Genomic DNA, 17,476 nt, shown 5'->3' with positions numbered 1-17,476 from the left:
GAATCGCTTGAACCCAGGAGGTGGAGGTTGCAGTGAGCCGAGATCACAGCATTCCACTCCAGCCTGGACAACAGAGTGAGACTCTGTCTCAAAATTAAAAAAAAAAAAAAAAAATTAACCAGCCATGGTACCACACACCTGTAGTCCCAGCTACTCTGGGGCTGGTGGGGGAGGACTATTTGAGCCCAGGAGGTCGAGGCTTTAGTGAGTTTGATCATGCCACTACACTCTAGCCTGGGCGGCAGAGTGAGTTCGTGTCTCAAAACAAAACAAAAATAGTTTCCAGCCAGGCGCGGTGGTTCACGCCTGAAATCTCAACACTTTGGGAGTCCAAGGTGGCGCATCATCTGAGGTCAGGAGTTCCAGACCAGCCTGGCCAACGTGGTGAAACCCCATCTCTACTAAAAATACAAAAATTAGCTGGGCATGGTGGCTCATGCCTGTAATCCCAGCTACTCAGGAGGCTGAGACAGGAGAACCGCTTGAACCCAGGAGGCGGAGGTTGCAGTGAGCCAAGATCGCACCATTGCATTGCAGCCTGGGGCAACACAGTGAGACTCTGTCTCAAAAAAGAAAAAAAAAAAGCTAGGCGTGAGAAGTGCCTTGATTTTGTATTTTCAATCTGCCAATACTTGCACAGGCTCTGGCTGCAAAACTTTTGCCGGTCAAACATTCGCATTTGAGAAACCACGTCCCTGCTGAGAGATAGATCTAGACACAGCCTTAACTACATCATCAGTAGACACATGACTGGTTTTCTTTGTTTGTTTGTTTGTTTGTTTGTTTTGAGACGGAGTCTCGCTCTGTCGCCCAGGCTGGAGTGCAGTGGCGTGATCTCAGCTCACTGCAACCTCCACCTCCTGGATTCACGCCATTCTCCTGCCTCAGCCTCCCGAGTAGCTGGGACTACAGGCGCCCGCCACCACGGCCGGCTAATTTTTTGTATTTTTTAGCAGAGACGGAGTTTCACCGTATTAGCCAGGATGGTCTGGATCTCCTGACCTCGTGATCCGCCTGCCTCGGCCTCCCAGAGTGCTGGGATTACAGGCGTGAGCCACCGCGCCCAGCGACATATGACTGTTTTTAACCAGAGGGAGGAAAATGGCTTTCAGATGGTTGTGTAGCTGGTTTTAACAGCCTTCAGCAGCGACACTGGCAGCCTCCGACCTCTCAGACCGAGTAAGCCAAGCGAAGCCTGTAGGCGCACGCTTGCAGCTCAGCGCCCGCGGGGACTCCGGAAGCCTCTCCCAAGTGGCGCGGTCCGCAAGGGGCGGCTACAGCTTGGGCGCAGGCGCCGCTGGCTCACCGGTTCTCTTGGGCTCCCCTGGGACGCCGTAGGATCGCAGGCGCGCAGCCCTCCCGGCCGCTCTGGCCGCCCTGCTCCTCCTTTGAAGAAAGATAGGGCCGCTGGCAGGGGCCCTCCGCAGCCACCGGGGATGGGGCTGAGGCCAGTTTTTGTTTTTAGTGCAGCCGCCGCCAGGCCGACCGCCGGGCTTGGCTGCAGCCACGGCGACACTGGCCCGAGTTCTGCGAGGCTGGGGGTGCTGGCGGGCTTGGAGGTTGCCTGGCAGCTGCTGCCTGCAAAAAGAAAAACAAACAAAAAAGCAGCTGCAGCTTGGGCGCCCAGGGCTAGCGGGGCATGGCCTGGGCAGTCTTGGGATTGCGAGCGCGCGCGGCCTGAGAGTCCGTACCCTTCGCCGTGCCTCCTGCCCTCCTCCTCTGCCGGACCTCAGAACTGCTGGCCAGGCCGTCCGAGGGAGTCCGGACCCCACTCCGCAGCCTACAGAGATGGGGTTGAGCGGCAGGTTCTCAGTTCTCGCCCCTCTGCAGCCGCCGCCGGGCAGACCGCCTGGCTTGGCCGCAGCCACGGTGACATTTGGCCCTGGTTCTGCGATGCTGGGAGCGCGAGCGAGCTTGGGAGTTGCCAGGCAGCTACTGCTTGCAGGCGGAGGGCGGCTACAGCTTGGGTGTCCAGGCAGTGGAACATGGCCTGGGCGGCCTCTGGATCGCGAGTACACCGAGCCTGAGAGCCCGCCAGGCCCTGCCCCCGCCTCTGCCAGAGCTCAGGACCGCTGGCCAGGGGCCCTCCGCAGCCACCGGGGATGGGATTAAGTGGCAGGTTCTCGCCCCTGTGTAGCCGCCATCGGGCAGACCATCTGGCTTGGCTCTAGCCACCGGGACATCTGTCCCCGGTTCTGAGATGTTACGAGTGCAGGCGGGCTTAGAGGTTCCCCAGAGGCTGCTGCCTGCACACAGAGGGTGGCTGCAGCTTGGGTGCCCAGGCGGGCTGGAGGGGCCTGGCCCGGGAGGCCTGCGGATCGCCAGGGCGCCCAGGCTGAGAAGCCCCAAGCCGCGCATCCCGCCCGGCTCTTCCACCACAGGGAGACAGGAGCTGCTGGCATGGGGACTCCGCAGTCACCTGTGATGGCTTTGAGCGGCAGGTTCTCAGTTCTCACTCCTGTGCAGCCGCCGGGACATCTGACCCCGGTTCTGCGACGCTGGCAGCGCGACCGGGCTCGGGAGTTGACAGGCGGCTGCTACCTGCACACACAGGGCAGAGGGCAGCTGCACCTTGGCCTGGGCAGCCTCCGAAATGCGTGCGCGCCAGGCCTGAGGGCCCCCCTGGTGGTGCCACCCGCCCCGCTCCTCCTCTGCAGGAGCCTGGAGCAGCTGGAATGGCCACTCTGCAGGGTTATGGTTAAGTATTCTTATCCCATGCATGCACACAAAAAAGGTAACTATTATGCGAGGTAATTAATATGTTAATTGACTTCATTTTGGTAATCATTTCAAAATGCGCATGTAGATAGAAACATCACATTGTAAACTTTGAATATGTACAATATTTATTTCTCAAATATACCTCAGTAAAGCTGAAAAAAAATGAACAGGATTGAAAGGATAAGCACACAGTTCTATAATAGTAGTTGGACACTTCAATACCTCATTTTAATTAATGGATAGAAAAACCAGACAGAAGCTTCATGAGAAATAGAAGACTTGAACAACAGTATAAGCCATTTAGAGCTAATACACATATACAGAACAGTCCACCCCAAAACAGCAGAATATACATTCCTTTTAAGTGGATATGGAACTTTCTCTAGGATAGGTCATATCTTCGTCCACAAAAATATGTCCTAATCATTTACAAAAGTTTTAAATCATACAAAATATAATTTACAACCACAATGGAGGAAACATAAATAAAAAATGAAACCTGAAAAATTCACAAATATGTAGAAATTAAACACTACACTCTTAAACTACCAGTGAAAGAATAAATCATAAGTGAAATTATAAAGTATCTTAAGACAAATAAAAACAAAACATACCAAAACTTAGTGACTGCAGTGAAAGTAGAGTTTGAAGGAAAATGTATGGACATAAACAACTACATTTAAAAAAAGCTCAAATCAGTAACCTCACTCTACACCTAAAAGGCAGTATAAAAACCAGAGAAAACTAAATCTGAAGCTAGCAGAAGTAAAGAAATAATAAAGATTAGAGCATAAATCAATAAAATAGAAGGTTGGAAAGCAGTAGAAGAAATAAACGTAGCTAAAAGTTGGTTCTTTGAAAAGAGTAATCTCACCTCAGTAGCCTAAGATTCTTCTTTAGGAACGTAGAGAAAGAACAACAACTTAAATCTAAGGAACTAAAGAAAGGAGCTAATAACAATTAGGGCAGAAATAAGTGAAATTCAAAACCAAAGAGAGAAAAAGGGAAAGAGAAGAGAGACTACAGATTACTAACAGCAGGACTGAAAGACAAGCTATCAATACACACTATACCATAAATAAGTAAAGCTAAAAATAATTTTATGCACACAAATCTAATAGATGAGATGAAAAAAATAAATTCCTCTAGAGACACAACACATACTACCAAGTCTCACTGAAGAAGAAACAGGTAACAAATAGTCCTGTATTAATTAAGAAATTGCATTTGTAAATAAAACCTACCAAAAAATCTAGTCACATGTTCTTTCACTACTGATTTCTATCAAATATTTGAAGGATAAATAATTTTGACTGTACACAATCTTTTAGAGAAAATAGATGAGATGGGAGCACTCCCAACTCATTTTATAAGGCCAGCATTACAATAACACCAAAACCAAAAAATGATATGGAGAGAAAAGAAGACTATAGACAAATATCAGTCATGGACATATATGAAAAAATATCAACAAAATATTGTGACATCAAATTGAACATCTCCCCATGTAGGATGATTCATTATGTCCAATAAAAACAAGGCTGATTCACTATTAAAATCCAATCCAAGTAATCTGCTATAGAATATTTTTAAAATATTCTTCTCAAGAGATGCAGGAAGAGCATTCGATGAAATCCAACATCTATTTCTGACCAAAACTCATAAAATTAGGAATAAAAGAACTTAGGATATATGTTTATATCTGTATACTATATGGTGATGACTGAATGATTTTTCCTTAAGACTGGGGACAGGTCCTATTCGATATTGTATTAGAAAATTTGCAAAGTGCAATAAGACAGGAATAAGAAATAAATAACATACATATTGCAAAGGAAGAAGTAAAACTGCCTCTATTTGCTGATAAAACTAATCTTTATATACACAGTCTACAGTATTTATGAAAAGCTTCTAAAATAAATACGTGAAATTAAGTGTTTTATTATCAAAGGTCAATATAGAATGTCAATAATTTTCCTATGTGTGAGTAATTAACAGTTGAAAAAATTAAATTACTATTTAAAATAGAAGCAAAAATTAAGTGCTTAGGTATTAATGTAACAATAGAAGTGCAGGATCTGTATGCTGAAAACTACAAAATATAAATGCAATAAATAGAAAATTTAAAAAGAGGGGAATGAAATATTTATGAATTCAGAGTCTCAATATAGTTAAGATGCCAGTCTTTTCCATTTCTGCTTGTAGAGTTCCTTCATTAACAATGAAAATTCCTGTAAGTTTTTTTTTTTTTGTAGATATCACCAAGGAGATTCTAAAATTTACATGGAAAACAAAATAACTAGAATTGTCAAAACACTTCTGAAAAAAAGTTAGAGGACATAAACTACTGATTACAAGGCTTACTATTATGCTACAGTTCTCAAAATATTGTGGTTTTGTTAAAATATTGTTAAAACACTAGATACGTAGACCAATGGAATGAATACAGACCCCAGAAATAGACCCACACAAATATATTCAACTGCATTTTGAAAAAGATGCAGAGGAAAAGGGGAAAGTATAATCTATTCTGTAAATGGGGATGTAATAATGGGATCTCCCCATGTAAAAAAAAAACGAAACTTAATGCGTATTTTACACCTTTTACAAAAGTGGACTGAAATAGACCATATAAAAGTGTAAAGTATACAGCAATAAAATACTATCATAAAACAGGGGAAATTAGGTATGACTTTGGGGTCATTGATGAGTTTTTAGATAAAACACCATACACATGATCCATAAAAGAAAAAATGAAAAAGCAGACTTTGTTATATCTAAAAATGCTCATTCTGTGAAAGAACCATTACAAGAGCAAAAAGCTAAAACAATCAGGGAAAAATATTAAGTCACTGTATTAGTCTGTTCTGCTGCTGCTATAAAGAACTGCTTGAGGCTGGGTAATTTACCAGGAAAGAGGTTTAATTGACTCACAGTTCCATGAGGCTGGCAAAGCCTCAGGAAACTTACAATCATGGCAGAAGGCAAACAAACATGTTGTTCTTCACATGGTGGCAGGAGAGAGAAGTGCTTAGCAAAGGAAGAAAAGCCCTATATAAAACCATCAGATTTTATGAGAACTCACTCACTATCTGAGAACAGCAGCATGGGGGTAACCTGCCTCCATGATTCTACTACCTTCTGCCAGGTCCCTCCCACAACACATAGGGATTATGAGAACTACAATTCAAAATGAGATTTGGGTGGGGACACAGTCAGACCATATCAGTCACGTATCTTATACAAGCTTTTATCCAAAATGAATAAAGAACCCTTAAAACTCAACAATACAAAACAAACAATCCAATTTAAAACAAGCAAAAATCTTGAGCACGTACATCTCAAAAGAAGACAGACATATGGCAAATAAGCATATGAAAACATGGTTATTGTTATTAATAAGGGAATGCAAAACATAACTACAATGGGATACTACTACATGCCATTAGAATAGAAATAAAAAATTAAAATATCAAGTGCTCCTGAAGATGTGTAGCAACAAAGATTCTCTTTCATTACTGTTGGGAATGTAAAATGACATGGTCACTTTAGGAGATAATTTGGCAGCTTTTTATAAAGTAAAACATATGTCCAGTGTGAGGTTCAGCCATTCCACTCCTATATATTTATCAATGTGTAATGAAAACAAATTCACATAAAAGCCCGTAGTCTAGGCAAATGTTTTAGCAGCTTTACTTATAATCTCCAAAACCTGGAAACAACCAAGACATCTTTCTTTTTTTTTTTTTCTTTTTTGAGACGGAGTCTCGCACTGTCACCCAGGCTGGAGTGCAATGTCACGATCTTGGCTCACTGCAACCTCCGCCTCCCAGGTTCAAGGAATTCTTCTGCCTCAGCTTCCCAAGTAGCTGGGAATACAGGCACCCACCACCATGCCTGGCTAATTTTTTGTATTTTTAATAGAGACAGGGTTTCACTATGTTGGCCAGGCTGGTCTCGAACTCCTGACCTCATGATCTGCCCGCCTTGGCCTCCCAAAGTGCTGGGATTATAGGCATGAGCCACCACACCCAGCCTAACCAACACATCTTACAACAGGTGAACAGATAGACTATTGCATCAATACCATCAACTGCTATTCAGCAATACAAAGGAACAGACTATTCACTTACACAACAGTACAGATGAACTTACATGTGTTTTGCTGTGTGAAAGAAGTCAGCCCCAAATGTCTACATATTGTATGATTTCATTCGTATAACATTCCGGAGAAGGCAAAATTATAGGTCAAGAAAACAGATCAGAGTTTGCCCACAATTGGGAGAAAGGGAAGGGTTGATCACAAAGGCATCACACACAGAATTTTAGGGTGATGCGGCTGTTCTGTGCAGTGCTGGAGGGTGGACACGTGTCTCTATGGTTTCTCAAACCCTACCAAATGCTACACTACAAAACCTCTTTCTTATTTTTTGCAAAATAAAAATAATAATAAAAAAATCCACCAGGAAGTCAGAGGATTCCAAGAGGAAAAAGAAACTGATCAAAGACACTTTGGAAAATGGTATTTTGATTGGATACTCTAAGGTTAAGACCAAACAAGCTGCATAGAAACACTCCACTTTGGTTGGTAATTTTGTTTATCACAGGGGCAAATGATAATTTTGACACCAGGCTAGAAAAAATAAGTAAGTAAGTTGCAGATAATGTGAGCTAGAGTTTTTACTGTTATGAAATGACTTTTTCTTGTAGTGTTGAGAATGTTTCTTTTTTTTTCCCAATCATGTGTTAATTCTCCCCAGGATTCTCACCAACCTATTCAAGTATATTTTAAAATACTTATGATTTTAAGACAAAAACACATGTGTTTTCAGCCCAGTTGGAGAAGCCTCATTACTATCACATCCTTTGTGTTCTAAATGAAAGTCTGCACGTAAAACAACAAAGGAGCATGGGAAGTGTTGGAAAAATATAATAAGGAAGACAGACTCCCTGGGGAATGACACAGTGGTATGTTCCTTGGGTCTCCTGTTCTTCTCATCTGCCCTGGAGAGAGTGCTGCAGAAGCCTCCAACCAGAAACCACACCCAACAAAACCAAACCTAATAAAACCCCAGCTGTCTCAGCCAAAGAACCTGGAAAATAATGGCCTAGCAAGGAATACCCACCTGAGTGTAGCCAAACATCAATGGAAACCCCCTCTGCGAACACCATAGTTCAGTGAAATCAAGTGTGGAGCTGATGATCCACTTCACTTACACAGAGTGGAAGGAATCAGCAGTGCTCTGATTCCCTTGCCGGATGGTGTCAGTGGGGCCAAGAAGGGAGATAAATCTTCTGTCTCCCACATTGCAAAAGAAGGTGGCATTCTGGTATTTCCATTTTTTTTTTTTTTTTTTTTGAGACGGAGTCTCGCTCTGTCGCCCAGCCTGGAGTGCAGTGGCGCGATCTCAGCTCACTGCAAGTTCCACCTCCCGGGTTCACGCCATTCTCCTGCCTCAGTGTCCCGAGTATCTGGGACCACAGGCGCCCGCCACCACACCCGGCTAATGTTTTTGTATTTTTAGTAGAGACGGGGTTTCACCGTGTTAGCCAGGATGGTCTCGATCTCCTGACCTCGTGATCCACCTGCCTCAGCCTCCCAAAGTGCTGGGATTACAGGCCTGAGCCACTGCGCCCGGCCTACAGTTATCTTAAATATAAATTGTGTACATGTGTCAATTAAAACACAAGGAATATCAACCTGAACACGGAAACACGATACAAAAATACGTACGTTACTTATCTCAATTGATGCAGAAAGAGCATTTGCCAAAATATAGCACAGTTTTATGATAAAAACTTTCAGAAACCTAGAAATACAAGGAAACTTCCTGAACTTTATCAAGAGTATTTATCAAAAACAAACAGCTATGTCATGCTTAATGATGAAAGAATGAATGGTTTTCCCCTCAGGGTGGAAACAAGGCAGAGACACCTGCTCTCAACAATGCTATTTGACAGAGCACCGAAAGTTCTAGTCGGCACAATTGGGCAAGAAACAAGGCATACTGATTGAAAAAAAAGAGAAAGAAGGAAAGTGGCCTCTATTGCAGATTACACGATTGTCTTTGTAAAGTCTCAGAGAAACTAAAAAAAGTCTTGTAGAAATAATATTTAGCAAGTTCACAGGATAAATGATCCATCCTCCAAAATTCATCATATTTCTATGAACTAAAAATGAATGTGTGGAAACTGAATATACCTTTACAATTGCTCTAAAGAAAATACTTAGGCATAAATCTGACAAGACATGCAGAATCAAGATGGCAAAAATTACAAAATGTGCATGAATTGAGAGAAGAACTAAAATTCAAACATACCTTATTAATGGTTTGGAAGACTCACGATAGCAAATATGTCAACTCTCTTCAAATTGATGGGTAGACTTAATGACAGTCATATCAAAACACCAGCTACATATTTTTATGCATATAGATAAACCTATTTTAAGTTTATATGAAAAGGCACATGATACTGGTGGAGAGATGGACACATAGGTCAGCAGAACAGAATGAAGAACTCAGAAATTGACACAAGTAAATATGCCCAACTCATTTCTCATTTTTGACAATGGTACAAAAGTAATTGAAAGAGAAAGAATAGTCTTTTTAACAAATGTTACTGGAGAAAATAAACACAGGCTCAAAATCTCAGTGTAAACCTTGCACTTTATACACTAATTAACTAGAAATGGTTTGCAAACTTAAATATAAAAGGTTGTACTATAAACCTTTTAGGAAAAGAGTTCTAAAGAAGTTATTGGGATCTAGGGCTAGATAAAAGTCCTTTGTTCTTATTTACATGTATCTTTTAATTTTTTTTTATTTTCAGTAAAAGATCAATGTGTACGTGTACTTATTCTAAAAAAGAAAAAATGTTCAATGTGCTCTTCCAGGTTAATAGACAAATCAAATAGACTCACCTTTCTTTATGAACCCATAGTGTATCAGTGATCCAGCCATTATTGTTTTCCTGAGAGGAAAATTCTCTTTATGCTCATCACACTTTTGGAGCATTGAACCAGAGGGCCTAACGTGAGGTGAACACGCTGCCAGTGGAGGTGAGCAGGAAGGAAATTTCCAAACCCAAGAACTGACAGAAACTGCTGGAGAGAGAAAGTTACTTGGGCAAGTCTAGAGACCAATTGCGTTGTGCCCTTCTCTGTAGAATAATAAAAACGGAGTATTCAAGAAAAAAAATAGGACAAGTGATACTAACCAAATGATGTTACAACACACCCATGTCTGTATGTGTATACAGACCTATGCACATATACACACATAGATATGTGTAATATGTGTGTATTTATAACTGAGGTTAAACTGTTAGGCAATAAGAATGCAGTCCTATTTTTCTACCCTCTCTTTTCTAACATCTTTCAAACAGATGATGTTTTGTAAGATTTTCAATTATTTTCAATAATTAAAAAAATTTCAAACAGAACAAATATGCATGCTGAATTATTTCTCAATCCCCTGTTTTACATGTGGCTTTAAGTACGTGACCTGTTATATAGATATTTCAGCATCTTAGATGTTAAAGTAAACACATAGCTGCTCCTCATTTTTGGAAGGGTGTATTTACAATATATGTGTCTGATGCAAGTTGTATATTTAAATTACTTAAAAATACATCTTCTTTGGTAAGAGTTTTTAAAAATAAATTTGTGGCACATTAGAATGTTTTTAAGAAAAATTGCTTTTTAATTTGTATTATCTAAACTTCAGAATTTTACTCTGAAGTATTTCAAAACTTACAAGAATATTCATATTTGATCTATAAAATAAGTAACTTAGATGGAATAATTTGAATTTGGAAATTTCTTTATACCACTAAATTTGAAGTATCAATGCCACATTTATTTTTACAAATTTTCCTTGAAACATTATATTGGCTACTGGAAAGAGCTAATACCCTTTATGAAAATATGATTTTAGTGATGCAACTTATATATGAGGTAGATTAGGAAGCTTTACTTCCTGTGCCCATTAACTAAGAAGATTTTATGAAACAATTTTTAACAGGGGCCACAGTCAGTACCGGGAGTGTGGTCAGGTGGTGAGGCACGCCTCCCTCCTCATTGGGCCCACCAGAAGATTTCAGGGTTCTAGGAGAAACATACCCAGGCATGCAGAGATTGTCACAAGGGAGGAAGGGCCAGGGTGGGGAACCCAGCACAGGGGGCCTGCCCTCACAGGGGAGTCGGACAAGGTTTTCTGAGGAAGCTGTGTCCAAGCCGAGATCCTTCCCGCTCCATGTGCTCCAGCACAAGGCCTGCAGGAGGAGCCCTGTGAGCAAGGCCAACCTAGACCAGCCGGGTGGATTCCCTTGGCATTGAGGGGGAGCATGGCCTGAGGAGCTGAGCGCGGTCTCCGAAGGACGGCATCAGAGGAACTCTCACCGTTTCTATCATGAACACTTACAGTTTGACATCAGCATGGGAGTTGTGATTGGGTGATCTTGGGAAGGGTCTGTCAGCGGGTCGGGGGGTCGCTCTAAGTTGGACGCTGTCTGATAGAGGAGGCTTTTCTATTGTTCGGCATCTCATATCTCAAGGAATCTTATCTAGAAGAGGGCAGAGGGCCGCCAGGAGAAAGCCGCTGCTGGTAATGAGGAAGATGCTGCTCATTTTCACCAAGTGCAGTGCTAGGGATTTTAGCGGGTGGCAAAGTGACCTTGATATCTTTTCTCTGTGCAGGTCTCTGTTAGAGTCACTGTGAGTGTCTCTGTGGGGATCTCTGTGTTGGTTTTGAAGGGTCTCCGTGTGCGTCTCTGTCAGAGGTTTCTGTGGGGGGGTCCCTCTGGGGGGTCTTCATGGGGGGGGGTCTCAGTGTTGGGGTCTCTGGGGGTCACTGTGGGGAATCTCTGAAATCTCAATGAATGTGGGGTCTTTGTGGGAATCTTTGCGTGTTGGGGTCTACCGGGGGTCCCTGTGGGGTTCCTCTGCTGCAGGTCACAGGATCCTGGGTCCCATAGATGTTGGGCCCACACTGGAGCTGCCCAGGTCACCACCCCAGACAGGACTTGGCTCCAACAGTAGCCTGGACACCCAAAGTGACACCAGGGCGTGTTCGAAACAGGTCCCCGGTGTGGGTCCCGCCAGGCCTGGGTACAGACCTGACACCTTGTCCTCAGCCTCTGCAGCCCCTGCAGGTGCAGAGCTCTCCCTGGGCAGAAGGCCCCTGGGCAGAGCCCTCTGAGGAACTGGCTCCTGCCTGCCCTGCCCTTGCTCCTGCCTTCCCTGGGGATGGCCAGGAAGGACCCAGTACCAGGACGAAGGGAGTGCAGGACTGGGCCCTGTGGGGACTGTCCCTGCCAACCATGTGACCAGATTCTCTGAGCCCCAATGTGTCCCTTGCCAGCACCTGGGCCTGGAACCATAGATGTGCTTTGTAACCCAGGCCAGCCCTTGCCTTCTGGGTCCCCCTCCCCTGGCAGTGGCACTGACCACTTTTGCTTGTAATGGTCACCAGACTGCAAGGACCCTGGTTACAGCTGTGGGCAGCTTGTGGATCCTGCACTTGCAAACTTATGCTCGTCTTCCCTGATTCTTCTCCCACCTCTCACCCTGGGCCCCAAGGTCTCCTCCTGTGATTCCTGACCACAGAGTCCTGCCAGAGGGGCAGGCAGCAGCCCTAGGTGCCTCCTGAAACAGACACCCCACACTAGTGGGCTGGGAGACTGCCCTGGAGAGTGAGGCAGGGGACACCAGACATGAACCCAGGGGTGTTATCAAGCCTGAGCCAAGTGCTGGAGGGGCCCAGGTCCATCCCAGATCCGGAACTCAGCAGTCAGGAAAGGGTCTGGGGAGGGTGTCATCTCTTCCCCACCAGGAGATCCCAGAAAGAGCAGTCCCCCCTCTGACCCAGGGCCAGCACAAGACACCCCCTACATTCCCAGGCTACTGTGAGGCAGGGAGGCTGCTGGGATCCATCACTCCTCCAGCCTGAGGGGAGCCTACCACCCCCCAGTCCGTGACGCCCCTGTAGACCCATCCCCTACAGCAGCACAGAAGTCGCCTTAGAACAGGGAATGCAGTGAGCCAGAGCCCGGGTGGGATCTCCGTAAGTTTGCTGTCCTTACATATCCTGAAGGCTCTGGGTCATGATCCAGTTTGGAAACCAGACACAGTGTGGGGACAGGGAGAAAAGGGGGTCCTCCAGGTCCCTGTCAGCTTCCTCTAGGCCCAGCCATTCTGGAAGCCGCACTCAGGAGGAGCTGACACTGAGCCCTTGCCTGCAGCCTAGCATGGAACAGACAGAAGCCACCACCTCTGCAGGGAAAACAGGTATATTGGGAACTTCTCCGTGGAAGTCAGGAACACATGGGGACTGTTGTCACCCACGCAGGACAGGTTTGTTGTGTAGGCGTCCAGTGTTATTTGGATAGAACCCCCTGTCTCCTCCAGGAGAGGTGTGGGAAGCCTGGTCTGGTTCAGGAGGCAAGACACCTCTGTGTAGACCTCAGTTCCTGCAGCTGTGGATGGGGCTGCCCGAGGTGCTTGCCACTCATGGCCTGTGGTGGTGGGGACCAGCTGGGGACACAAGCTCCCTGGGAGGTGGGGGCCCAACTGCTGTCTCTGTCTCTGATGCCCTTGTTTTTGACAGGACATTTGTGGCCCTTGGGGGTGGCTTTGGGGCTGCAGACCAGCCCCATCTCTCTGCTATGTTCCTGGTAGTAGTGACTCCTGTGGCAGCAGGAAGGCACATTCTCCTGGGCGTGGAGGTCGCCTTTGTGGCGACTGACCTCTGAGGGACCACGTCCCTGCTGAATCCCCAGTTTGTCCACCAGGATTTGCCCCATAACTCTGATGATGGTCTGGGCTTCATCAGCCATGCTGTCCATAAACAACCTTGCTGGGCCAGACCCCCAGCTCTGGACAGCATCTGCCCAGGCTTGCCTTTCTGCAGGACGTCTTCCTGCCCTGAGCCCCTCTTCCTGGGATGTAGACCCTGTGGACGGTGACTGATCTTTCTCTGGAAGTTGCTTTCTGGTGGTGCCTGTCCCTTCTCTGGCTGAGGCTGATTGTATTTCCTTTCTTGTTTGTCTCCTATTTCCCTCGTGTGGGCAGGGTGGCTCCTCCCACTGGCTTGGGAGGTCCTGGGTCCTTTGGACCTGTGTCCCTGCTCCCCTGGTCTGGGCCTCCTGTGGGCCTTGCCCTTGTCCAAAGAGCCCAGCATCTTCTGACTCTTCTGTGGGGCCTTCACTTTTGGGCTCCCAGGTTCCTGCTGCCCCAGTCTGTCCCCTCCCTTCCATAGGAGGGCACATGGCCCCTGGGAAGCTGTCGTGTTCCTCCTACTGAGCACACTCTGGGAGGTGGACAGAGGGGCCTAAGTGGGTGGCCTGTATGTGGCTGGGAGCATGTCCACATGGCGGCCTGGAAGGCACAGGCCTGTGGCGCCCTCCTGGAGGAGGATGCTGGAAACACGGCCTGGCAGCTGCTCCTCTGAGTCCACCTGCACTATGAGCGCAATCTCACTGACAACCTGTGCTTTCAGGCACAGCTGCCCTGGATCCTGAGCAACACAGATTGTAGACACTGAGGGGTTACTAGTGGTCCCCAGAGTCCCTGTGCTCCTCAGATCCACCTGAACACTTCCTGATCTTGCCCTCACACTGGCTCCCAAGGTGACTTTCCAATCAGGGGGCTTTTCCTCCTTGGCCTCCAGTGCCTCCAGGGCATCTCTGGCCCTTGCCCACTGGGACCCCATGCTGAGCTCTTGCAGGGCTCTGCTATGACAGGGGTCTCCTGGGGACATGCTCTCAGTCTCAAGCCATGCCTCATTCCCAGCCATTTCTGAACCCACACTCCCCTCGAGTCTGGGTTTCCCGGACCCCAGGACAGTCCCTCTCTGCCAGGTTCTGCCTACAAGGTTGCATATGGGGGACTGAGAAGATGCCCTGCCCTCCTGTCCAGTCAGAGAGGCCTCTGATTGCTCATGGGTGTCAGCTGACTGGGACCCTCTTGGGACCCTCTGGACTTCCTCCTGCTCAGTTGGTGGGGCAGGGACAGGGCCACTCATGGTGGGGGCTGACTTGCTTGTTGTTCTATTGTCTCCTGGACCATTCTGGGGAGGTTTTCCCGACAAAATGGCAACCTTGGCTACAGATTCAGCCAGAGATTCCCAGGAGGCCCAGGGGAGAATGGTGGAGTGTGGGAGGGGTGGAGGCTGAGCCTCCCCTGACTAGACATTTATGGGCTCTAAGGACTGAAGTTCTGGACCCCACCTGTGCCTCACACAGAACTTGAAAAGATGTGCTTCCAGCATCTGCTGGGTGCAGGGATGGAGGAAGGACAGCTCCTGGGAGGTGTTCACGTGGGCTTTCCCACCCCTCCAGGATGTCACCTTTCTCGATTTCCTGTGGGTGTCAGACTTGGGAATGGCATGTTTGGCCATGAATTAGGAGCGATGCACAGACACAGGGATCCAGCCCTCCTTGATCTCCCCCACCTTCCTGTCCAGATGGACCTGTGGCTTGTTTTCCAGATGCTGCTTTTCTGGGTCCCTGGGTGCAGAACTTACTGATTGGTACTTCCAGGGCCTCCTGAAATCACCTTCTGCTTCCTCCTTGTCTTTCTCCAGAACCTTCACTGAAGTCCTTCCTGAGCCTTGATCCTGGTTCTGGCTCTAGTTTGGACCCTAAGCACCCCTTCCCAGAGAACCTTCCAGAGCTCCTGAGCCCTGCTTTCTGCACATCCTTCGTGCCCTTTCCTACAAATTCAGAATCCCGGGAGGGCAAGAGGGCCCCCTGCGTGGCTTCTGCCTGACTCTGGGGCCTCCCTGGGAATTCCCCCTTAGGCTGCAGCAGGTCTCCAGGTGCCTTGAATCTGCTGGGAGGCCACGGGACTGCTCCTGGTGGATGGCACTCCTTCCTTGCCACCGGTGCTCTGGGAGCTCAGGGCTGGTGGCAATCCCGGGAAGGATGGGGGCTGACTTAGGGTTCAGGGAGGCTGGCCTCTCCTGGGGAAGGTGGGAAGTGGGCTGGCTCAGGACAGCCTGAGACTTTTTGAGGAGAGAGGGCAAAACCCTCTTCCACTTTGGTCATTTCTGCAAGGGCCACTCAAGATACTTTTTTCCAGTGGGGATGACAGACTGTGCCCTCTTCTGGGATGTAGGGCAAGATGCTCCACAGACCCTAATCTGGGGTGGAGAAGAGGTTGGGACAGGGGTTGAGATTTGCCCCACTGTGTCTGGATCCCAGCTAGAGGCGGGGGCTGGGACTGGGGCCAGGTTGGAGTGAAAGGTTGGGGCTGGGCCACGTGGTGGGGCTGGGGCCGTGCCTGGGAAAGCTGTGAGGGTGTCTCAACCTCAGTTTCACCTGGAAGGGAAGTGGAGGCTTTATCCGATGGTACAGAGTGCTCATTCTGTGAGGAAATGTTCCTAGAAACCCAGGCCATGGTCACCAGGGACTCGCTATTGAAAGAGGGGAGATCCCAGAAGAGATGGCTGCATTTCTGCTCTAAGTGGTCCCACATGGCCATGGCGTCAGAGACCTGCTGAGGATGGGGCAGCTTCTGTGGTAGGTTTGCCACGTTCCAGAAGGGATTTAGAGTCGTGATGTCCCACTCCTTCCCCAGTGATGTCATCTGCGGGTAGTCTGCCCACCCCCATTCTTTCTCCTGCCACATCTTCATCACTGCTCTCTTGGAGATGAGTCTCCAGCAGCTTCTGCACGTTGGGATGGAAGAATGTGCGGCCACCTGCCTCCATCTGCCTGGGTGTGGGGTCTCCCCAGAAGGAAGCCTCTGGGGGGTGGTTGGGAAGATGCTGTTGCTGGGATTTGCCCTGTGAGCAGGTGGAGAGGCCCCAGGTGGTGGCAGCCTCCCTCCAGCGGGAGAGGTCCCGGATGGGACCGCTGGAGCACCCAAGGCCAGAGATCACCCTGGTTGGAGAAGGTGGCCCCTGGTTGTGTAGAGGGGAGCTCTGGGGGACAGGGCGTATTGTGGAGCCACACTGAAGTCCAGCCAGGCTGTGTTCGGGTGGAGGTGGAGAGGAGGCCACGGGAACATGGGGCTGTGGTGAAGAAGGAAAAGCATATGTGGCCGGACTGCAGGGCATTTTAGGGGAAGCAAGGGCTCTGGAGGCCTGGAGGCACTCAGGGTTGAGCGTGGTCCAAAAGGCTCTGAGAAGGTCATTGTGTCTGGTGACAGGTTGGAGGCCAGAGGAACTGGGGGAGTCCTTGGGGACAAGCTGTCAGGAGATGGATCTTGCATGCATTTCCTATGCGGCTGGTGGGCCTTAGCAGGAGCTGGTTTGTACATATCACCCAGGGCTCTCCACCTAAGGGCAGATGGGAGCCACCCTCCCCAGTGAGCTTTCTCAGGTGGCTGCACAAGGCACAAGCTGCAGCCAGGGGCAGGTGGGGTTGGGAGGTCGGGAGGGCTGGGCACCTGGTGCCCACAGCTCCTCCACCTCCGCCACTGCTGGCTTCACAGAGCTCTGTCTGTGCCTGCCCAGGGCTTCAGTCCACTCCCGCCTCTTCCCAGGACCTCCCCCTCCCAGGTCAACACTGGACCCTGGGGCTGCCTCAGAGGCCCTGGTAGAAAGGACGACATGGAGAGAAGGGGAATCTCATCTTTCCAGAAGGTTGGTCAGGTCCTGAGTCTCCTCCAGCTCCCTCAGGAGGATTCTGCAAGCTGGAAGTAAGGAGACAGAGTTATGGCGGGGAGGGCGGTGCCAGCGAACCTCATGGGAGGCTGAGTGGTGGATGTCTCTTTAGGGGACACCATGGGGAACTAGACCCTGAAGCCCAT

The 17,476-nt window shown here is 47.9% G+C and overlaps 1 pseudogene, besides 1 other annotated feature; it reads right to left on the bottom strand.

The window, feature by feature from the left end:
* Nucleotides 1,299-2,142: an enhancer, noted in NCBI's record as "H3K27ac-H3K4me1 hESC enhancer chr15:23454295-23455138 (GRCh37/hg19 assembly coordinates)". NCBI's record gives its function as "activates a minimal SCP1, AML or CMV promoter by ChIP-STARR-seq in primed H9 embryonic stem cells {active_cell/tissue: H9 hESC(primed)}" and the evidence as "EXISTENCE:reporter gene assay evidence [ECO:0000049][PMID:30033119]".
* SPATA31E3P (SPATA31 subfamily E member 3, pseudogene) lies at nt 13,077-17,062 on the bottom strand (annotated as a pseudogene).

The sequence above is a fragment of the Homo sapiens genome, chromosome 15 (genome assembly GCF_000001405.40).
Source record: "Homo sapiens chromosome 15, GRCh38.p14 Primary Assembly".
In the NCBI taxonomy this organism is placed as follows: Eukaryota; Metazoa; Chordata; class Mammalia; order Primates; family Hominidae; genus Homo; species Homo sapiens.
The sequence above is the reverse complement of the archived record's forward strand: the minus strand, read 5'-3'. Positions and strand labels throughout refer to the sequence as shown.